The 23,337-nt window shown below is 46.4% G+C and overlaps 1 protein-coding gene and 1 pseudogene across 5 annotated transcripts in view, besides 1 other annotated feature; one reads left to right on the forward strand and one right to left on the reverse strand.

Annotated features, from left to right (window-relative positions):
* The window catches only part of FKBP9 (FKBP prolyl isomerase 9), a 49,489-nt gene extending 26,628 nt beyond the window's left edge, over positions 1-22,861 (forward strand). For 4 of the 5 annotated variants that reach the window (NM_001284341.2, NM_007270.5, XM_047419849.1 and 1 more), the window contains 5 exons: positions 4,440-4,585; positions 12,096-12,282; positions 16,048-16,193; positions 18,609-18,772; positions 21,108-22,861. In NM_001284341.2, the coding sequence (NP_001271270.1) occupies positions 4,440-4,585; positions 12,096-12,282; positions 16,048-16,193; positions 18,609-18,772; positions 21,108-21,284 (820 nt within the window). In that variant the 3' untranslated portion in view covers positions 21,285-22,861. Of the gene's footprint in view, positions 1-4,439; positions 4,586-8,654; positions 11,253-12,095; positions 12,283-16,047; positions 16,194-18,608; positions 18,773-21,107 lie in introns of those variants that run through there. The other variant, XM_011515115.4, reaches the window with a different exon arrangement.
* Positions 14,566-15,151: an enhancer, noted in NCBI's record as "H3K27ac-H3K4me1 hESC enhancer chr7:33038245-33038830 (GRCh37/hg19 assembly coordinates)". NCBI's record gives its function as "activates a minimal SCP1, AML or CMV promoter by ChIP-STARR-seq in primed H9 embryonic stem cells {active_cell/tissue: H9 hESC(primed)}" and the evidence as "EXISTENCE:reporter gene assay evidence [ECO:0000049][PMID:30033119]".
* Positions 17,883-17,987, reverse strand: RNU6-388P (RNA, U6 small nuclear 388, pseudogene; annotated as a pseudogene).
* Positions 22,862-23,337: the final 476 nt, after the last annotated feature.

Raw genomic sequence — 23,337 nt, forward strand, 5'->3', positions numbered from 1 at the left:
TACATTAGACTTCCTCATTATGGTTCCTGTCTTTGGTGACTTGTTACAAAGTCTGTCCTCTTCCTAGAGTATATAAATGTTTGCCTGTATTTCCCTCAAGCCTTTTAATGGTTTTTTTTTCTATTCTTTAAGATATTCTTTATTAGAATTTTTATTTTCAAAAGTAATATGTTCTTTTTTTTTTGAGACAGAGTCTCACTCTGCTGCCCAGGCTGGAGTGCAGTGATGTGATTGCAGCCCACTGCAACCTCCACCTCCCAGGTTCAAGCAATTCTTCTGCCTCAGCTTCCAGAGTAGCTGGGACTACAGGTGTGCACCATCACCTGTAGTGATGCAAAAAAATTTGCCCGACTCATTTTTTTGTATTTTTAGTAGAGATGAGGTTTCACCATTTCGGCCTGGTTGGTATCAAACTCCCGGCCTCAAGTTATCCACTCGCCTGGGCCTCTCAAAGTGCTGGGATTACAGGCATGAGCCACCGCACCAGGCCAGAGGTAATATGTCCTAATTGCATAATGGAAACAATGCAAAAATGTATAGCAGAAAATGTAAATTTCCTGTCAGCCCCTTCCATTCTCACTACCATGAGATCGCCAGTGTTAACAACGTTCTGCAGTTTCTCTCTATGCTCATAAATGCTTTCATATTTAAGTCTTTAATCCATCTGGAATTTATTGTGGTATCACTGTGACAGGAAGGATTTAACTTTATTTTTTTCCAGATGGTTAGCTAGTTTTTCCAACATCCGTCATGAATGACTCTGTCATTTCCTCACTGCTCTAAAAGGTGATTTTTGTTATGAACTAAATTCTTATATGTACTTTTGAGTCTTTGTGTAGAATTTTTATCCTTTACCTTCTATCTATTCCTAGGGCAGCATCACAACTTTAACTATGATTAACTAGTGTTAGCTTTTTAATTTGTATAGTAGAGGGCATTCTTTTTCTTTTTTAAAAAATAGCTTTTTTTTCTACTAAGTGATGCATTGACATGATTTAAAACCCTGGAAGTATGAAAAGGTATACAATGACAAATTTCCCTCCTATCCTTGTCCCACCTCCCCTCTTCATAGGGAACCAGTGTTACTAATTTCTTTTTCTTTCTTTCTTTCTTTTTTTTTTTTTTTGAGACGGAGCCTCGCTTCTTTGCCCAGGCTGGAGTGCAATGGTACGATCTCGGCTCACTGCAACCTCTGCCCTCCAGGTTCAAGCGATTCTCCTGCCCTCAGCCTCCCGAGTAGCTGGGATTACAGGCACATGCCACCAGGCCCGGCTAATTTTTTTAGTATTTTTAGTAGAGATGGGGTTTCAACATGTTGGGCCGGGCTGGTCACGAACTCCTGACCTCAAGTGATCACCCACCTCGGCCTCCCAAAGTGCTGGGATTACAGGTGTAACCCACTGCCCCTGGCCCAGTGTTATTAATTTCATAGGTGTTCCATACATATATAATGAAGTACATATATGTATATATTTCCTGCTTAATTTTTTACAAGAATGATAGCTTGCTGTATACTGCACCTTAAAAACAGCATTCTTAATTATTTCTTTTTTCAGGTGAATTTTAGCATTACTTTACTGAGCAATTTTGATTGGAATTGCTTTAAAATTTGTAAGTTAGTTTGGGCCAGCTGTGGTGGCTTAGGCCAGGCACGATGGCTTACACCTGTAATCCCAGCACTTTGGGAGGCCGAGGCAGGTGGATCACTTGAAGACAGGAGTTCAAGACCAGCCTGGCCAACATGGTGAAACCCCGTCTCTACCAAAAATACAAAAATTAGCTGAGTGTGGTGGTGCATGCCTGTAATCCCAACTACTTGGGAGGCTGAGGCAGGAGAATCGCTTGAACCCAGGAGACAGAGGTTGCAGTGAGCCGAGATCTTACCATTGCACTCCAGCCTCAGCAACAGAGTGAGACTGTGTCTCAAAAAAAAGAAAAGATAAAAGAACTTATAAGTTAGTTTAGGGGAGGACTGACGACTTCACTTTTCCATTGGGGAACAGGATGGTTTTGCATTTACTTGTCTTTAACTTTTATTCAGCATTTACTACAATTCAAGCCCACCCCGCCACTCCGTCTCTCCTTCTGAGGCTCTTATATCCTGCCTCTTGGCTTGGCCCTTGCTGCCAGACCATTGCTCTTCCCTTAGGCAGATCCCACAGCCTTCGGTGTCTGCTATCTCCCCTCTGCCATGGAATCTTTGCAACTATTCCAGTGGGCAGCAATCCCCGCTGTGGGTACCTGCCATCTCTCTCACTACTTGGTGTCCCTTTGTCGGGAGCCCACCACATAGGTATCCTTCTCTTCCCTGAATGTCTGGCAGTGGCTGCACATTGCTGGTGATCCCCAGGGTCCTGCAGGTGGGAACCTCGGGAGGGTGAGCCCTGCTCTGGCTGAAGGATGCTGGGAGCCGACACGGTCCTCCTCTTCCCTGCTGTGTTCCCCTCCAGGCCTTCCTGGCCAGTGCACCAGGAGGAGGATTGGAGCTGCTCAGCGTGGGGTGCTGTTCTCAGTGGGTGGGAAGGGGGACTCACAGCCTCGTCTGGGAGTTTATGTGGACAATCTCCTGCTTCCTGGGTGAGGAGAGACATCTGTTGTGATTCTTTCTTCGTGCCCCATGACTTTGTGGTCTTTGAGGGGTATTGAGAAGGGAGAACCCCCACAGCTCTGCCTGTGTATCGGCCTGGCCCTGCTCGGCAGTCCTTCTTCTCCGGGGCATCATGCCCTGGCTTTGAGGTGAGGGAATGGCAGGACCGACTGGCTCTTTCAGGACAGGCTTTCTGCCTCATCGGCACCAGGTGGTGTGGGGAAGGGGTGCAGGTCACGTGGTCCAGTTTGATAGTGGACTTGTGGCATATGAAGTTTTATTATTTTATTCTGGAATCATTATGCTGTGGGGAATTGATTCCTCTTTTTACCAAACTCATGGTAATAGAATCACTCAGTAGTTTACACACAGGCTGGATCTCTCCACTGAGTGGACTTGGGGCTCCTGCCAGGAGCACTTGGAAAACCCAAGTATTCACCAGGGTGGCGGGGTGAGCAGGGGTGATAGTGGGGGCCTTTTGTCGGGCTGTGGTGGAGAGTGCGGAATTCATTACTCTCAGTGTGTATGCTGCTTTCCTGGCGATCGGAATCTTCATGTCAGGCTGGGTGCTGTGGCTCAAGCCTGTAATTCCACACTTTCGGAGGCCAGGGCAGGCAGATCGCTTGAGCCCAGGAGTTCGAGACCAACCTGGGCAACGTGGTGAAACCCCATCTTTACTAAAAATACAAAAATGAGCCAGGCATGGTATTGCATGCTGTAGCCCCAGCCACTTGAGGGGCTGAGGTGGAAGGATCACTTGAGCCCAGGAGGTTGAGGCTGCAGTGAGCTGAGACCAGACCACTTCACTCCAGCCTGGGAGACAGAGCAAGACCCTGTCTCCAAAAAAAAAAAAAATTAAAAAGTAATTAGAAAATAAAAACAGAATATTCATGTCCCACATATGCAGATATTTTCTCTTTAGATATTGGAGACATTATCCTTGTGACACATTCGTAGTTTCTGATAAGGGCTACGTTCGATTCTGTCTTTTGTTTTCAAGACAGGGTCTCATTCTGTCACCCAGGCTGGAGTGCAGTGTTGTGATCTTGGCTCACTGCAACCTCAACCTCTCCGGCACAAGCAGTCCTCTGACTTCAGCCTCCTGAGTAGCTGGGACTATAGGTGTGTGCCACCACATCCAGCTAAGTTTTGTAATTTTGTGGTGACAGAGTTTTGCCATGTTGCCCAGGCTGGTTGAGAGCTTGATTGTTTTCATTAACTTGACATGGTTATAGAGTGTACAGGCTGGGCACGGTGGCTCATACCTGTCAACCCAGCACTTTGGGAGGCCAAGTCAGGAGGATCACTTGATCCAGGAGCTCAAGACCAGGCTGAGCAACATAGTGGGACCCCATCTCTACAAAAAAAAAAAAGTATTAGCTAGGTGTGGTAGCATGTGCTTGTAGTCTCAGCTACTTGGGAGGCTGAGGTGGGAGGATTGCTTGAGCCTGGGAGGTTGAGGCTGCAGTGAGCTGTCTATGATGGTGCCACTGCACACCAGCCTGGGTGACAGAGTGAGACCTTGCCTCAGAAAAAGAAAGTATAGTGTTCAATTTACATTAGCTCCATTTCTGTGTGGTGCTTCTCATAACCCACACTGCATTCATAACCTGATGAAACTGGAGGGCCACATGGCGTGTCCCTACAGGTGGCTGTTCACATGCTGTGTGGGGGTTCTTATTTACCCTTCCAGGGGAGCATGTTTCCTGGCTGTGTCGTCAGATACTGTGGTTTACGCTGTTCCGGAGTCTGGAGGCCTCTGTGTGCCTTTGCATCTCTTTCCCAACTAATTTGCACAGCTGCTGTGGAGGCCCTCATGAATGACCTCTTTCTTTCCTTTCTTCTTTTCTAGCTACTCTCGGAACCGCACGTTTGACACGTACATTGGGCAGGGCTACGTGATTCCTGGGATGGATGAAGGTCTACTTGGTGTTTGCATTGGAGAAAAGCGAAGGATTGTGGTCCCGCCTCACCTGGGGTATGGAGAGGAAGGAAGAGGTGAGCATCAGCATCACCTGCCTTCCTCACTAGCTGTGGCTGCTTCCACATTGCTTGAAACAGGGCTTCTTTTTCTTTTTCTTCTTTCTTTTTGAGATAGGGTCTCCCTCTGTTGAACAGGCTGGAAAGTGTAGTGTGTGATCATCGTGTACTATGGCCTGGAACTCTTGGCCTCAAGTGATCCTCTTGCCTCAGCCTTCAGAGTAGCTGGCACTACAGGCACGCACCACCACACCCTGCACAGAACTTCTTGAGAGCCAAAATATTGAAGCTAAAGTCCAGCTTAAGACTGGAATTCCCAAATAGATTTAGTTTCTAGAGTTGTCCTGTTATTTCTCCTTGTTTCTCTGCCCATTTTCCTTTACCTTTTGAAAATGTTAAATCCTACACCAAAGTCAAAAGCACGTTATGGTGAATTCCACTTTGTTTTGCCAGTTGTTAACATTTTGCTATATTTGATCTCTTTTTATATTTATTTATTTATTTTGGGCTGAACCATTGAAAGTAAGTGCAAAAGCCCCTCTTTGGTTTTTGTTTTATATATTATAAAATTCACCCATTTAAGTATACAATTTAGTGACTTTTAGAACATTTAGTGGGTTATGTCACCATCACTATAATCCTGTTTTAGAACATTTTTGTCACCCTCATACCACACTTCCTTTTAAAAGTTACACAAATCATACATGTTGACTTTAGAAAAAGAAAATACAGTTAAGCAAAGAAATCCTGCCACCCAGAAATAAAGATTTTTTTTCCTTTTTTTCTTTTTTCTTTTTTTGAGATAGAGTCTCATTCTGTCACCCAGGCTGGAGTACAGTGGCACGATCTTGGCTCACTGCAACCTCTGCCTCCTGGGTTCAGGTGAGTCTCGTGCCTTAGCCTCCCAAGTAGCTGGGACTACAGGCATGTGCCACCACGCCTGGCTAATTTTTTTTTTTAATTTTCAGTAGAGATGGAGTTTCACTATGTTGGCCAGGCTAGTCTCAAACTCCTGGCCCAAGTGATCTGCCCACCTTGGCTTCCCAAAGTGCTGGGATTATAGATGTGAGCGCCATGCCATGCCAGAAACAAATATTGTTAATCTTAATCTGGTAGGCAGAATATTCAGCCCCTCCAAGTATCTATGTTCTAATCCCCAGAACCTGTGAGTATGTTACCTTACTTTATTTTGTTTTGAGACAAAGTCTTGTTCTGTTGCCCAGGCTGGAGTGCAGTGGTAAGATAAGCTCCTAACTCACTGCAGCCTCCAGCTTCTGTGTTAAAGTGATCCTCCTGCATCAGCCTCCTGAGTAGCTAGGACTACATGTGTGTGCTACCATGCACGGCTAATTCAAAAGCAATTTTTTTTTTTTTGTAAAGACAGACATGGTCTTGCTATGTTTCCCAGGCTTGTCTGGAACTCCTGAGCTCAAGCAATCCTCCCACCTTGGCCTTCTGAAGTGCTGGGATGACAGGTGTGAGCCACCATGCCTAGCCTCCTGTTACCTTATTAAAAGGGACTTTACAGATTTGATTAAGGATCTTGAGATAGGAATAGTATTCTAGATTATCCAGGTGGCCTCAAAATACTTGCAACAGTCTTTGTAAAAGGGAGGCAGGGGGTCAGACCGGGGAAAAAGTGCTAAACTGCTGACTTAGAAGATACAGAAGGAGGACCCTGTCAGGGAATGAAGGTGGCCCCGAGAGGCTGGAAAAGATGGAAACACATTCTCCCCGGCAGCCTCCAAAAGGAACATATCCCTAACAATACCTTGAATTTATGCTTCTGCCTTCCAGAATTAGGGGAATCCGTTTGCGTTGTTTTAAGCCAACAAGTTTGTGGTATTTTGCTGCAGCAACAGTAGGAAACAAATGCAGCCATGAAGTGAATGTCCTTCTGTACCTTTGAGTTTATGTATAGGTTTAAAAAAAAATGCCCACCTACACTAATCAATACGGACAAACATGGGATTGTCTATGCGTATTACTTTGTGATTTCTCTCTTCACCTAATTTGTGGTGAACAACAGATATGTTGTGAACAACTTTCTATGCTATGTATTTTAATGGCTGCTCCCTCGCTTAGCAATAGTTGATGCAGTATTTATTTTGTTTTTGTATTCTTTTGCTGATGGAGGCTGGCCTTGCTGGCTGTACATTTATTTTGTTAGTTCTGTTCTGTTTTTTTGTTGATACATCATATGTATCTTGAGAGTTTTCCCAGTAGTGTTCATCCCAGAGGATCCAAGAAACGTCAAGTTGGTTGGAAGGTAGGTTGTACAATGGAGAAATATTTTTTTCTCCCTGACTTAAATTTCTGATTGATTAAACCACAACAGATCACAGCTTAAGATCCATTCGACAGGGCTTTCTTCACACATCCTGCTTGTCTAGTGTCTTGATTCTCTATTGCTTTTTATCGTGTGGATTTCTACTTCTAGTCAAATATAAACAGAAACAGATAAATACTTTCTGAATGTTCTTGTTTCTTTATGGCCTGAGGACTAATCTTTCCTTTCTTTGAAAAGAATGCATTGATGGAAAACATTTGCTTAAATTACTTTTTTTCCTCTTGGCTTTCTATCAAGTATGAGACAGAGCTCTGCAAAGAATTATATAAGCCTCTGGGAAGCAGCCGAAGGCTCGTAAATTTTCTGGGCAATGAGACTCCTTCATCCTGAATCACGTTGCTGTGGGAGGAGGGCACCCTGAGTGACCCTGAGGTATAAACCCCAAGTGCTCTTGAGTGGAGTCTGCCTCTGTCCTCTCCTGATCAGCACCCTTGGCCTCTTTGTGGGGGTTACATAGGAGCTCGTGCTGATCCCTGAGGGGCTGACCCGAGAGGGGTCAGGATGCTGAAACTGTCTTCTTAGTGGCTTCTTCACTGCATACCACAGGGCCAGGCACATTGTGAATGTTTGGCAAATATTTGTGGAAGGAATGAATTGTGGGCTGACCGTGTGCTCTCAGCCTCTATCAGCATTTCATTCTGTCACAGCCATTTTCCCCTGCAAGATTGGTGGAGGGGAAAGGGTAGGCCTCCTGGGAGAGGTTCTGGATCTTTCTGCCATCTGCTTTGTTCCATGGGTCAGCCCTGAAATTAGGGCATTTGGATGGGTTTGCAGCCTCAAAGTGGAGAATGGATTCTGCCTGCGAGGATGTGTAAGCATCACTTCATCGATGGTTTGCTGTTACTCAACTTCCAGATTACCTTTTGAGCACCCTTTTAGGAAAGAGAGGAAAGTTAATAAATTACATTTTACCCACTGTGTGTCTGGGACTTCTTGCACATGAACTCATTCAAACCTGGAAACAGTCTTCTGAGGCATCATTACCCTCATTGTTTAGAAATATAATGAGGCCCAGAGAGTTCCACCCATGTGTCCAAGGCCACAATAGCTAATCCATGATGGAGCTGGAATTGGACCCAGGGCTCTCTGACCCATATGTGTCCTAGACAGACAGAAAGAATGAGTCCCCATTAGGTAGTGACTTGTTGATACCCATATGTGGAGAACCGAGACCTCAAACCAGAAGTCCTAGAGCTCTCAGAGGAAACACACCCGCTCAGAGGAAACCCACCTTCCTCAGAGGAAACCCACTCCCCTCAGAAGAAACCCACCCCCGCAGAGGAAACCCACCCCCTCAGAGGAAACCCACCCCCCTCAGAGGAAACTGACTCTCTGCAGAGGAAACCCACCCCCCGCAGAGGAAACCCACCCACCGCAGAGGAAACCCACCACCAGCAGAGGAAATCCACCCCCAGCAGGAGCTGCAGAGTTTCTTGGGTGGGCTATTGGCCGCTTTTAAGTTTTTCTCATCTGTATCTCTTCTGAGGGAGGCATCCTCATGGTGAGAACAGAATGATGACTTCTGCATTGGTTAAGGGTTTATACAGAGAGGAGGTTGGTGTTGGAGCCACGTTGGACTATTTCTGCCCGTTTGCTGGTCAGCACTCATTTCTATACTTAATCTACAAATAGCTTTGTGGAAGTCAGAGCAAGATAGAGGGATAGAGGTTCGAAGCCTTGGTGCTGCCTGGGGTAGGTGGGGTCTATGGTTCAAGGCTCTGATCTTCATTTTTGCAGGCGGAGAAACTCCATCTATCCATCCATCAAAGATTTATTGAGTTTCTTCATGACCAGGCCCTGCTCACGGTGTTAGGGATTCAGCAGAAAGAAACACAAACAAAACTTCCTACGCACACAGAGAGTGTTTCCTTGTTGACGCCCTCAATAATGTGTGTGCCTCAGAGGTTATCAGGCACCTGGGAGACTGACTCACGTTAACTTCCTAGAAGCTGACATACTCACCTGATGCTACATGGTTCCTTGACTGGGTGTGAATCGACCTCTACACTGGTTGGAATTCTTGTGCCTGGAATCCTCGGGGCCTGAGAGGCTGAGTTCATTTGACTGCTGACATCAGATCCCAGGGATGTGGGTGGTTCCAGATGCATTCCCTTTTGCCCTGGAGAAGGCCCTGCACCTGAATGCATCTTGGAGGGGAGATTATATTTGAATTGATAAAATTTGGTGACTGCTTAGCTCAGTGTTAGAAGTTTTTAAAATTTGTGGTAAAATATACTTAACATCTTTACCTTGTTAACCATTTTAAGTGTACAGTTTAGTGGCATCAAATATATTCACAATGTTGTATAACCATTACTATCATCTACACTCAGAACTCTTTCATCATCCCCAACATAAACCCATTACACAATAACTCCCGATTCCTCCCTCCTATCAACCTCTGACAACCACCTTTCTTTCTGTCTCTACCAATTTGCCTATTCTAAGTGCCTCACTTGAGTGGAATCATACAATATTTCTCTTTCTGTGTCTGTCTTATTTTACTTAGCATAATGTTTTCAAGGTCTATTTGTATTTTAGCATTTATCAAAATTTCAAGCTGGGCGCGGTGGCTCACGCCTGTAATCCCAGCACTTTGGGAGGCTGAAGCAGGCGGATAACCTGAGGTCAGGAGTTCAAGATCAGCCTGGCCAACATGGTGAAACCCTGTCTCTACTAAAAACACAAAAATTAGCCAGGTGTGGTGGTACGCGTCTGTAATCTCAGCTGAGGCAGGGAAATCGCTTGAACCCGGGGGACGGAGGTTGCGGTGAGCTGAGAACATGCCAATGCACTCCAGCCTGGATGACAGAGCAAGACTCCATCTCAAAAAAAAAAAATTAATTCCTCATTTCTGGCTAATAAATTTCATTCCTTTTTATTGCTGAATGAATATTCCATTGGATGTATATACTACATTTTGTTGATCAGTTCGTCTGGTGATGAACACTTAGGCTGTTTCTACTTTTTGTCTGTTGTGAATAATGCTTAATGCTTCTGTGAATATGAGTGTACAAATATCTGTTCGCATCTCCAGCTTCAATTCTTTTGTATATATACCCAAGAAAGATATTTTTATTTAATGTTTTCTTGAAATATAATTCACATACTATAAAAATAATCATGTTAAAGTTTACAATTTAGTTGTTTTTAGTATATTAACCAGGTAACATAACCATTACCTCTACCTAATTCCAGCACAGTTTCATCACTCCAAAAAGTAACCCATAACCATTAGCGGTCACTCTCCGTACCCTGTCCTCATCCATCCACTTCCCCCACGCTGGCAACAGGTAGTCTATTTCTTGTCTGTATGGATTTGCTTATGCTGGATGTTTCCATATCCCTGGAATCCTACAGTATGTGGCCTTTTGTGTCTGGCTTCTTTCACTTAGCATAATGTTTTCGGGTTCATTCCCAGGTGATTTTTAACAGGTTACCAAGGTTGAGGAACCATAGATCTGCCTCTGCAGACACCCACCCTGTCCATGTGTGTTAGCTTCCCACACAGAGCCATCCGTGGCCTGGCTTTGAGCAGCCTTCTGGCCAATGGCAGGCTGTACTTCCTGGTTCCTGTGGGAAGGAGCCTGCACCCCACTCCACCCACACCAGCAGCCCCTGTTTTGAGTGAGTAGCAGGCACCTGTGTTCTGCTATTAAAGCACACGCTTCTCAAATTATTACCTTTAACTTTGGCCAGCCCCAAAATTTGTACCTCCATTTTCTCAGGATTTTAATGAGAATTAAACAATACATGTTTAATTTAGAAGAATGCCTGGTACTCAATAAACGCCTATTAAATATGAGCGTGAGTGTGTTTCTATTAGAGATAGGAGAGAGACCAATCAAGAAGCAGACACAGAAAAGTACGTGTTGGGACAGGAGGTAAGGAGGGACTGTTGGAGTTTGTGTATCTCTATCTGAATTTTGTCATTAGCTGTGTTATTCTCTTGAATAAGTAATATCATGTCTGAATTTTTCATTTCTTTCTTTCTTTCTTTTTTGAGGACGGAGTCTCACTCTGTTGCCCAGGCTAGAGTACAGTGGTGCAATCCTAACTCACTGTAGCCTTGACCTCCTGGCCTCAAGCAATCCTCCTGCCTCAACCTCCCGAGTATCTGGGACTACAAGTGCTCACCACCACGCCCAGCTAATTTTTTTGTAGAGACATTTGGCTGTGTTGCCTAGGCTGGTCTCAAACCCCTGGCCTCAAGTGATCCTCCCACCTCAGCCTCCCAGAGTTGAGATTATAGGCATGAGCCACCACCATACCTAACCTGAGTTGGTTTTTTTATATGTAAAATGCTGATGATAATAAAATATGTCCTTGACTCTAGGTAACATGATTTTAAAATATTTTACATTTAAACTTCTCTGAAATGATTTGGGCTGGGGGATGTATTACAACTGATGCATATGTTTAAGTGTCCCCCACGCCCCTGGGAAGCTGTCGTTAAATTCCTGGGGTTATGGCCATGCCTACCCCATAAGGTTGCTGCAGGGATTTAAAGGGAAAATGTAGGTGAAAAATACTTTGGCAAACTGTAAAACATTATTCAGATGTGAGCTACTGTCTTCAAAATTGGAAATTATGGAAAAGTTAATAAATAATTTAGTATAGAACAAATAGGATGTATTCTAAAAGCACCTTGTGACTGTTAGGTGTATGATCATAAGGGGCCAATTTTGGGGGAGAGGTGTTTTTTTCTTTATGAAGTTTATGTTATGTTTTTCTTGAGCAGTGGTAGGACATTGGAGTGATTTCACTCTACGGCTGATTTTCTCACCCCACCTCTTACTTCCAGTGGGCAAGGGGCAAGTATTAATTTGGCTGGGTTTGAGTTTCCTCATCTGTGATCAACTTAGCCACTCATCTTTCAGGCTCAACGATTCCATGGGGCAATAGTCCATAGTCTTGAATTTTAGTCCAAACTGTGCTCATTACAGGCTGTGAGACCCACGGCAAATCTGTGCCTCCGTTTATCCACCTGTAAAATGAGGATGAGGTTACATCTAACAGCCCTTTCAGCGTCAGTCTTGGAGTCCTCCTAGGGTTCTGTATCTGGGTGCCCGTTTTCCTCACTTGGAGGGCCTTGAGGACATACCTGGTGACACTGGGGAGGCCCATGTGCTGCAGCCTGCAGGGGTCATTCATTAATTCCCCGTGTCTGTCCTTTAGGGAATATCCCCGGCTCGGCTGTGCTGGTGTTTGACATCCATGTGATCGACTTCCACAACCCTTCGGACTCCATCAGCATCACCTCCCACTACAAACCCCCTGACTGCTCAGTGCTGAGTAAGAAGGGAGATTACCTCAAATATCACTACAATGCCTCACTTCTGGATGGGACCCTGCTGGACTCCACGTAAGGGCAACCAGAATGGTGTGGGAGTGAGCCTGGAGGGTGACAGTTGCATGCTCCCACCATCCTCCTCTCTTGGGTAGATGCTGGTTGAGAGCTTTTATCTCCATGCTGCCCCACTGCATAGCTCGTGGCTGCATCACTGCTCAGGTGCATTGTGTTAAGAGTTTCCTATTAATGGTCTTGCCCTGCTGCAGGTCATTTTTCACCCCATGAAATTGTCTTTCTGAAAAGCAGATCTCATCGTATAACTGCTATCTTTCCTTCCTTCCTTCCTTCCTTCCTTCCTTCCTTCCTTCCTTCCTTCCTTCCTTGCTCCCTCCCTCCCTCCCTTCCTCTTCTTTCCTTTCTTTCTCTTTCTCTCTTTCTCTCTTTTTTTCCTTCCTTCCTTCCTTTCTTTCTTTTTTTTTTTTTTTTGATAAAGTCTCACTCTTTTTTTTTTTTTTTTTTTTTTTTTTTGAGACGGAGTCTCGCTCTGTCGCCCAGGCCGGACTGCGGACTGCAGTGGCGCAATCTTGGCTCACTGCAAGCTCCGCTTCCCGGGTTCACGCCATTCTCCTGCCTCAGCCTCCCTAGTAGCTGGGACTACAGGCACCCGCCACCGCGCCTGGCTAATTTTTTGTATTTTTAGTAGAGACGGGGTTTCACCTTGTTAGCCAGGATGGTCTCGATCTCCTGACCTCATGATCCACCCGCCTCGGCCTCCCAAAGTGCTGGGATTACAGGCGTGAGCCTCCGCGCCCGGCCAAGTCTCACTCTTTCACCCAGGCTGGAGTGCAGTGGTGCTATCTCGGCTCACTGCAACCTCTGCCTTCCAGGTTCAAGTGATCCTCCCGCCTCAGCCTCCCAAGTAGCTGGGATTGCAGGCACGCACCACTATACTTGGCTAATTTTGTTTACTTTTTAGCAGAGAGAAGGTTTTGCCATGTTGCCCTGGCTGGTCTCAAACTCCTGGGTTCAGGTGATCCTCCTGCCTCAGTTTCCCAAAGTGGTAGGATTACAGGTGTGAGTCACTGCACCTGACCCAGGCTAATTTTTAAAATTTTTTTAGAGATGGGGGGGGTCTCACTATGTTGCCCAGGCTGGTCTCGAACTCCTGACCTCAAATGATCCTCCCCTCTTGGCCTCCCAAAGTGCTGGAGTTACAGATTTGAGCCGTCATGCCCAGCCGAACTGCTTTCTTTAAAAATTGATGCACAGAGGCTGGGTGCGGTGGCTCATGCCTGTAATCCTAGCACTTTGGCAGGCCAAGGTGGGCAGATCACGAGGTCAAGAGATCAAGACCATCCTGGCCAACTTGGTGAAACCCCATCTCTACTAAAAATACAAAAATTAGCCGGGCGTAGTGGCGGGCAAATGTAATCCCAGCTACTCATGAGGCTGAGGCAGGAGAATCTCTTGAATCTGGGAGGTAGAGGTTGTAGTGAGCCGAGATAGCACTGCTGCACTGCAGCCTGAGCAACAGAGTGAGACTCTGTCTCCAAAAAGAAAGAAAAAGAAAAGACCCTATGGATATACTCTTCAGAGCTCTCCCTCTCGGTATGGGATCCTGTATGCTAATGCATTTAATGTATTTCAACAACTCTAAAGAGCGTGATGGAAACATTTCATGTATCTCTGACCAAGTAAAAACGCTAACTGATGACATACTGTCAGTCATAAAATGTATCCTAATTATAGAAAGGTTAAACTGTGAAAAAATATGCATTTTAGAATCAGTGAAATATGTGCTAGGCTTCCAGGGCCCAGATGTACAGGGACCTGGCTTACAACAGACCTTGCAAAGAAATCCCAACCACTGACTATTAGAAGCTAGCGGGAGGCAGGGCAGCAGGGAAGGGGCATGGCTTGTAGTGCTTTTGTGGATCAAGTGAGCTCCTAAGAGTGAAAATGGTCCATGAGGTTAGAAGGGTCTGTAAGGTCCGTGGCTGCTGTCACTGCTCCTGCTGATGTTCATATTCCTGTCCGCTGATCCTGAGGCTGAGGAAAGGGGAAGTGGGTGTGGGGAATGAACAAAGGAATTCCTTCTCGGAGGCTCCAGGATCTGCTTCTCACGTGGGGCGGGGAGAGTCAGTCTCCCTGCCTCCTGCTTGTGTTTGAAGGACTCATAACATCCTGGCAGAGCACTCAGGAGCCACATGAGCCAGAGCTCCTTATCAGGAAGTGCATTTTGTACTCTGAGAGCCTCTGTATTACATGTAAATCTGCAGCAGAAGAGTAGCGGCTGGCGTCCCTGCTGGTGTCTTCCTGGTGTGAGCTTCAGAATACTGGGCTAATGGAAAGCTTGGCCAGCACCTGCCTATCTGGTCCCAGCTAGAGCCCCGTGTGGGCTGGGCCCCATTCATCAGGACTAAGGCAGCAGCTGCTGCCTAGAAGGGAGGAGAGGAGTGGGAGTGAGCCGGGGAGGGTGAAGCAGGCAGGAAGCTGCAGGCCGGCGGTGGATGGGGCCAGGAAGCATGCAGGGGGAGTGAGGACCGTGTTTGAGAGAAACACTGCCCAAGAGAGAAAGAAAGAAAATCACAGGACCCGAGGAAAAAGAATGAGTGGTGTGTTCAGAGATGACACATGACAACAAATTGTTTGCTTGGAGAATTTTCTTACGCTTGCGTGTTTAAACTGGCCTCAAGGAGGAAGAAGAAACATGCGTTCCTGGATGACTGAGTTCTGGAATATTCTGTCATAAGACTTTGCAACTGGAGTAGCCCCAGAGAAAGGCAGGCAGTGAGAGTTGGCTCCCTCCCCAAAGCCATCCCTGAGTTGGCTTTGTTTGGGGTTCCTCCCAGGTGGGAAAACACAAACCCTGTCTTGGTTTGCTGGTAATCAGCTGGAGGAGGGAAAGAAGTGGCTGCCCTGGGTCCAGGGGAGGTCGGGAAGCCTGAGAAGAGGATATGACCCAAAGGGGCACCCGTCCATGTTGTCCCCAGTGCTCATGGGCATCAAGGGGGGTCAGGGGGCTTTTCTCCTTGGAGTAAAGAACATCAACACTGTTTGCCTTTAGGAAGTGATAGGAATGGCATAGATTTTGGCGTAGATTTATTTTTAGTAGTGACCGAAGTGATAGAGCAAACTTTTTTTTAACTGGCTTCCTGAGGCCCATGGCCATCAAGGATAATTAAACTCTTGGTGGTCTTTTTTTTTTTTTTTTAGTCTTAGACTGCTACAGACATAAACACTTTACACCTCAAGGCCAAACATTTATTGAGCCCTTTGTACTTCCCCTCCACTGTGCCAAGCATAACATGTTATTTGCGATTTAAAACGTCCCTGTGAGATAGCTATATTTGTTGTCTCCGTTTCATAGATAAAGTAACAGAGATTACATTTCTCAGGGTTAAATTAAGTGGCAGAACCAGGAATCCATCTCAGGTCTTGCTGAATCCAAAAGCCAGGGTTTTTTGTCTTGTTTTTGTTTTTGAGACAGAGTCTCACTCTGTCTCACAGGCTGGAGTGCAGGGGCACGATCCTGGCTCACTGCAGCCTCCACCTCCTGGGCTCAAGCAAAAAGGACCCCATTCCACTATGCTTCTCCACTCTGGAACTTCCACAGTCTTGCCTGGATTTTCATGGCCTTGACAGTTTTGAAGATGACAGCCAGACATTTTTCAGCATGTGCCCCAATTTGTTTTTGTCTGATGTTTCCTCATGATTAGATAGGGATTTGCATTTCTTTGGTAGAAATATCCTAGAAGTGATGTGTTCTTCTCATGGGAACACTCTCAGTGCCAATGGGTTGGTGACCTAACATGAGGCTCTTCTGTTTCATTTTAGGTGGAATTTAGGCAAAACTTACAATATTGTTCTGGGATCTGGGCAAGTTGTGTTGGGGATGGACATGGGTCTCAGAGAGATGTGCGTTGGCGAGAAACGGACAGTGATCATTCCGCCTCACCTGGGCTATGGGGAAGCTGGCGTGGGTGAGTAAGCAACGCTATTCAAGGGTGTTGGGGGCCCGCTTACTATCTGAATTTTGTGCTTTTTGGGGTGCCATAGTTAGAATCACAGCATGCTTCTTACATGTAATACCCAAAGAGTGTGTGGTTTCTATTTTTAAAAAATTATTTAGTATTTTTGTTTGGAGACCCCTGTGAATTCAGTGAGCCACGTCAATGCTCCATTACCCTCTTGAGAAAGAACCAGTTTGAGTGAAATAAATCTTGGATCTTCAGACCCATGTGTGGGAGGTGTCCCCAGGGGAGCTGTCCGGGAGGTTTCTCTGGGGTCAGACTGAGCACGTCCTTCTGGAACTGTTTCCTGGGACAGGTGGAATGCTGTAGGCCGTTGCTTTTCACTTCTGAGCCTGTAGGCTGTCCAAGACAGTTTCCTTTGGGAGAGATTAGTTGCAAGTTCTTGAAATACTGGCTTTACCTCATCCTCACAGTGGTTATGTTTTACTCCATCATTTCAGCCACAATGTGTCCTCCACGTGGGGATTCAATAACTTTTTTTTTTTCAGCGACAGGGTCTCACTCTGTCACCCAGGCTGGAGTGCAGTGGCACCATCATGGCTAACTGCAGCCTTGAACTCCTGGGCTCAAGCAATCTGCCCACCTCAGTCTCCCGAGTAGCTGGGACTACAGGCATGCACCACCTCGCCTGGCTAATTTTTTATTTTTTAGAGACAGAGTCTCGCTATCTTTCCCATGCTGGTCTTAACTCCTGGGCTCAAGCGATGCTCCTGCTTAGGCCTCCCAAAGCACTGGGATTATCAGTGTGAGCCACTGTGCCTGGCCCCAGGAACCCCTTCTTTTCAGTGTTTTCACACTGCTGATATCTGGACATGGAGGAGATAGGAAGAGCTAACTGGTAACAATGATAGGCACTGTGGATTGATATTTTTTCCCCGTAAAAGAATTGTAAAGTACATTGTTCTTCCTACCAATCCCAGAAGAAACGCTTTAAAAATTGTTGTATATTCTGGCCGGGTGCGGTGGCTCATGCCTGTAATCCCAGCACTTTGGGATGCCGAGGTGGGCAGATCACGAGGTCAGGAGATGGAGACCATCCTGGTTAACAGGGTGAAACCCCGTCTCTACAAAAAATTAGCTGGGCATGGTGGCGGGCACCTATAATCCCAGCTACTTGGGAGGCTGAGGCAGGAGAATCGTGTGAACCCAGGAGGTGGAGCTTGCAGTGAGCCGAGATCGTGCCACTGTACTGCAGCCTGGCGACAGGGCAAGACTCCATCTCAGAAAAAAAAAAATTGTTGTATATTCTTTAAGACTTTTTCTGTGATATATTATTAATAATTATAATACATAGCATATTATATATAACATATAATCTAGATAAAATATAATAATTTGGAATAATACACATTACCTTTATATATTCCATACTTAGATAACTTCTTTGGACCTATACTGTATACACTATTCTTGAATTTGTGCTTACAGTCAAATCTTGGATCATCATCTTCAGGCATATTGTTCAGATTCTAAAAGTTCTGCTGTTAGATTTACTTAAAAGTTTTACCATTGTATTGTAGTCTCTACAAGCAGCTTTCAAACTTTTTTCCACAAGACACACAGTAAGAAATACATTTTATTTCCCAATCTGTATTCCACATAAACATACAAGTTACACATATACACATTTATTTATTTCTTTTTAATCAACACATCACAAATTTGCTTGTCCTGTTTGCACGGAGGTCATGCTATTCTTCTCAGTATGGTTCCAATTTTAGTATGTGTTGCTAAAGTGAGCATTACTTTTAGTTTTATATATAAAATTTAAACTCAAGTTTCATGACACAATACCTATCTTTTCTAGAGGTACAAAGTATTCTGTTCCTTTTTTTTTTTTGAGATGGAGTCTCACTCGGTCACCCAGGCTGAAGTGCAATGGCGCGATCTCGGCTCACTGCAATGTTTGCCTCCCTGGTTCAAGCAATTCTCATGCCTCAGCTTCCCGAGTAGCTGGGACTACAGGTGCCCACCACCACACCAGCTAATTTTTGTATTTTTTGTAGAGATGGAGTTTCACCATGTTGGCCAGGCTGGTCTTGAACTCCTAATCTCAAGTGATCCGCCCGAGTCGGCCTCCCAAAGTGCTGGAATTATAGGCGTGAGCCACCATGCCTGGCCTCTATTCTATTCCTTAATTTAAAAAATAACTAAACGCTGGTCACCACCCTCTAAACTGATTTCGTGAGTCATTAACGGGCCACTGCCTACAGTGAGAAAGTGACTAGCCTCTGCTCCGCTTTCTTGCTTTGGTCAGAAGTCCCACTCTGAGTGAGGCTGCTGGAGGTTGGGGTGGGTGCTGGTTGTTGGGCTTGACTGCTGCCTGCCGGCTGACACCGCCTCCCGCTCCTGTCACCTGGACAGATGGAGAAGTGCCCGGCAGTGCCGTATTAGTGTTTGACATTGAGCTGCTGGAGCTGGTGGCTGGCCTTCCTGAGGGGTACATGTTCATATGGAATGGTGAGGTGTCACCCAACCTCTTTGAAGAAATTGACAAGGATGGCAACGGAGAAGTCCTCCTGGAAGAGGTAACTAACTGGCCTCTGTAGGAAGGTGGGACCGAAGAGCTCAGGGAGCCTGGTAAGGCCGTGGGGCCGGTTCTGAAGGTAAGGACTTCTAAGGGTGAGGCCAGCTGGCTGGAGGGCTTGTGAGATGACCAGCACACTTGTGTGCCAAGCGCTTTTACACACACCCTCTCGATGGAAGCTCACCATTCCTCTCTGAAGAAACCGATTCCCTAAGAGGTGTAGGGCATGATTCCAGGGCATACAGTCTGCATTTAGTTCTCGTTACTGGGTGCTCAATGCCTGCCTGTATGTGCTGAGTGTATTCTCTGATTTGGCCCTCACAGCAGCTGTTTTTTAGAAGAAACTGCACAGAGAAGGTAAATGACTTGTCCAAGGTCACACATCTACTCAGTTGTTTGAGCCAGGACCACACTCCTCTTTGTGAAGCTGGGCAATAGAACCATCTGTTCTGTCCCACCCCTGGGGAATTCCAGCTCCCTGCCTCTTCCACATCTGCTATTGAAGCACATCCTCCAGCCTTTTCCTCTCTCTCTCCACATCATCAGCCCTTCTGGATCTTTCTCATTTGCATACAAATGTGCTATTATTTTCCCTTCCCTGGATGTGTCTGTTTCTTTCATTGCTTTCCTTCCTTTACAGCAAAAACTTCAAAAGAATTGTGTGTCCTTTCTGCCTCCAATTCCTCTCCTCCCATTCTCTCCTAAACCCACTCCTTTCTGGCATTTGTCCCTCTATGCCTCTGAGCCTGACCTTGCCAGGGTGGCCAATGTCTTCCGTATCGCGGAATCCAGTGGTCAGCTCTTACGCTCCTCTTAACTTCAACACAGCTGATTCCCCTACAGGACGCATCTTTCTCTGGCTTCCAGGACACCACACTTCATGGTGTTCCTTCTACCTCCCTGGTACGTCCCTCTCAGGCCTCTTGTCCCTGATCGCTTCATGTTGGAGTACCCCGGGCTAAGTCTTGACCTTTGTTCTTTTCTCTGTCTTTAAGTCACTCGCTCAGTGGTCTTATCGGGTCCATATCCTGATGGCGTCTGGATTTGTAGCTCCAGTCCAGTCTTCTCTCTCCACTTCACACTCATGTGTTCAGCTGCCTGCTTGATGTCCTCATTTATGGAACCCCTGCTATCCACCCGCACACCCCGCTTGGGGCCTGCTTTACCCAAAGCCTTTCCCGTCGCAGTCAGTGGCATCACTGGCCTCCAGTGGCTCAGGCGAGAGCACTCGGTGATCTCTGACTCCTCTCTTTCTCTCGTAGGCCGTAATGGTCCTCAGGAAATCATTCCAGCTCTACCTTGAGAGCACACACAGAACCTGACGCTTCTTACCACCCCCACCCTGTAGCATCTTAGCCCGGGGCCTGTCATCTCTTTCCCGGGTCACACACAGCAGTGGTGTTCATGAAGCTCCTCCTGCCCTCACAGTGGCTGTTCTCACACAGAAGCTGGGTCAGACCCGCAGAGGCCCCTGTCTACAGGGCCTCACAGTGGCCTGTGAAGACCCTGCACTTTCTGCTCGCTGTAACCTCTTTGCCGGCTGTCTCCCTCTGCCCACTTTACCCGGCCACACCTGCCCCCAGTGCTGTCTGTGACCACCCAGGCATGCGTCCACCTTGAGCCCTGGCACCGGCTGCCCTCTCTGCTCAGGAGACATCTACCCCAGATAACTTGTTCGGTCCTTTCCTTCTCATCTTTCAAGACTTTGCACAAATCTTCCCTTCTCCTTAAAGTTTTATCCTGACCACTGAATTCAACACTTCATCCCTTTCTCCCTTCCTTACTGAGCTCCGCTTTTTGATTTTTTTCTGGAGCATTTCACTTTGTAACTTAATGTGTAATTTACCTATTTTTATGTTCATGTCTAATTGTCTGTTTCCACTAGAATGCAAGCATCACAGGGGCAGGGTGTTTGTGTATTGATGTATTTCAAGATCTAGAACAGTGTGCTCAGCACATAGTAGACCATATGTTTTGATCATATGAATGAATGCCTGCATCCAAGAATGTTCTTACAGTCTTGGGTGGTCTTGGGGGTCAGCCTTTGGTGGGGAACCAACTTGGGAGAAGGAATAGCTCTGACGGCTGCTGGGTATTGGCTACCTGAATAATAAGGGCTCTTGGAGTCATTTAGCACAAGGGTTTTTCACCTGCATTTAGAGAAAAAAAACAAAACACAGATCATAGGTCATATAGCTGCCAAAAAGATCTTGTCTGTGTTGGTAGCCCAGACTCAAGTTCCAGCCCTGTCACCCCCAGACTGCTCTGTTTCTGGCCCCAGGCCTGGCGTTCATGGCGGCTGAACTCATGGTCTTTCCTGTCCCCTTCTTTTCCAGTTCTCAGAGTACATTCACGCCCAGGTGGCATCTGGCAAAGGGAAACTCGCTCCTGGCTTTGATGCTGAGCTGATTGTGAAGAATATGTTCACCAACCAGGACCGGAATGGAGATGGGAAGGTCACAGCCGAGGAATTTAAACTCAAAGACCAGGAAGCCAAACACGATGAACTCTAAACCTGGCATGAACCAGATGGTGCCAGGGAGTACGTGACACCAAGCCACCTGTGTGGCAAGACGTGCAGTGAGGGTGCAAGGGTCTCTCAGAAGTTGCATCATTAGCCAGTAGTAGGTGGGTCACATAGTACCTGGTGTACACATCGGGGTGGGTTGATATATGGGGTGAGAAGTTTGGGCTGATCGCCAGTGATAGTAAACAAAATCTGTGCAGAGGGCCTTAGCATGGGATGTGTCCAGTATTGAAAAGGCTGCACTGCCAACCATGATTTGTGAGCCTTCTGGGAAATTTTGTTATTAAAGGAATATATAGTGTCAGACGGAAGTTATAATCATCTTGGAGGAACCATAAGAAAAGGTGTCCAGGGTATCTATATAAAGAGGGTTAAATTTTTTTTTAACTTGCTGGTTAAAACATTTTAGAAATATTCTAGAGATGGGCAGGAGAGTCAAAGGGCTTGCTTGCCCCAGCAGAGTTCCCAGCAGACAGCCATGGCTCTTCCCAGCAGCCTGTGCAAATTCTGATGATGGCCCCACCCCCGCACACGCACACGCACATCATGCTTTTCCAGCTCATCACACCCCGCCCCACTATGGGCCTACCATTAATAGTGTATAACTTGGAGGTTAAAAGAGCCTTTTGGACAGAAAACTGGGCCAGGAAAAGGCATCTCAGACCACAAATAGAGAATTTGATTCCTCATTTGCCACATAAGTCATCTGCTTAGCTTTTCCTTTCCTTTTTTTTTTTTTTTTTTTTTCTGGAGGCAGAGTCTCCCTTTGTCGCCAGGCTGGAGTGCAGTGGTGCCATCTCGGCTCACTGCAGCACTGTCTCGGCTCACTGCAGCCTCCGCCTCCCGTATTCAAGCGATTCTCCTGTCTCAGCCTCCTGAGTAGCTGGGACTACAGGTGTGCACCACCACGCCCGGCTAATTTTTGTATTTTTAGTAGAGACGGGGTTTCACTGTGTTGGCCAGGATGGTCTCAATCTCGACCTCGTGATCCGCCCACCTTGGCCTCCCAAAGTGTTGGGATTACAGGCGTGACTCACCATGCCCAGCCACTTAGTTTTTTCTTATTCCCACCTTTCTATCCCATAGAACACTCTTTTTTATCTTCCCTGAACCATATTGATGAGATAAATAGGGCTGGGGGCTGGGCCCCGCTGGTCACTCAACAGAGTATTTCCCTTGGCCGAGATGGAAGTTTTGTCCCAATAGATGAGCTGCTGAGCATCAACAAGGTGACATTTTTCTGCTGCCCATTTGTGTCCTGGAGACGGTGGTACCCTGAAGGCAGAGGCCAGCTGCCGCAAGACAGCAATGACAGTCCACCTGCCGACCTGATTCCTGCATCATGGAATAACCACATGGCTACCTTCTATCCTCTGTTCCCAAATGGTGGTGGCACTTATCCTGAAGTCGTCAATGATTTCCCTTTGAAACTACTTTATTTTACTAATTTAAACTATTTTGTACTGATGTAGCCCTGAGGTAGTTCATGAAAATGCTGTGCACTCATTCCATGGAATAAATGTTGGAAAGCTGATCTTTTCTGATATAAAATGTTGAATGATATTATCTGGTTTTCTGATATTTTATTGGAAGGCTGAAGACCTATGAGAATGCACCATGCAGTCAGAATCCCCTTGATGAAAACAGCAGGACTTCACTGCATTTACTGAGGGAGCGCACTCTACTTATAGGGAGTGTCAGTCAGGGTCCTGGCCCTCCTCTGGGACTCCTGAAGAGAAGCTAAGGAAAGGACTGTTTAGAGGGGTGTGGGCGAGGCTGGGGGAACTGAGGCTGTTGAGTGCCAGTGACAGCAGTGTTGGCCACCGCAGGAGGCTGCTACCACCAGGGCCTGAGAGCTCAAGAGGAGGCAGTGGGAGCAGCACAGGAAGGGCTACCTGGAGGCGTAACAGAGGGATGCAGCCAGCTGCATCTGACAGTGCGGCTGACACTGCAGCAGAGCGAGGGACAAACGCCCCATCCCCTCTGTGCCCCCATTCTCTGATGCCTGCCACTGGCTCCCATTAGTGGAACCATGTTGG

The sequence above is a fragment of the Homo sapiens genome, chromosome 7 (assembly GCF_000001405.40).
Source record: "Homo sapiens chromosome 7, GRCh38.p14 Primary Assembly".
NCBI lineage: Eukaryota > Metazoa > Chordata > Mammalia > Primates > Hominidae > Homo > Homo sapiens.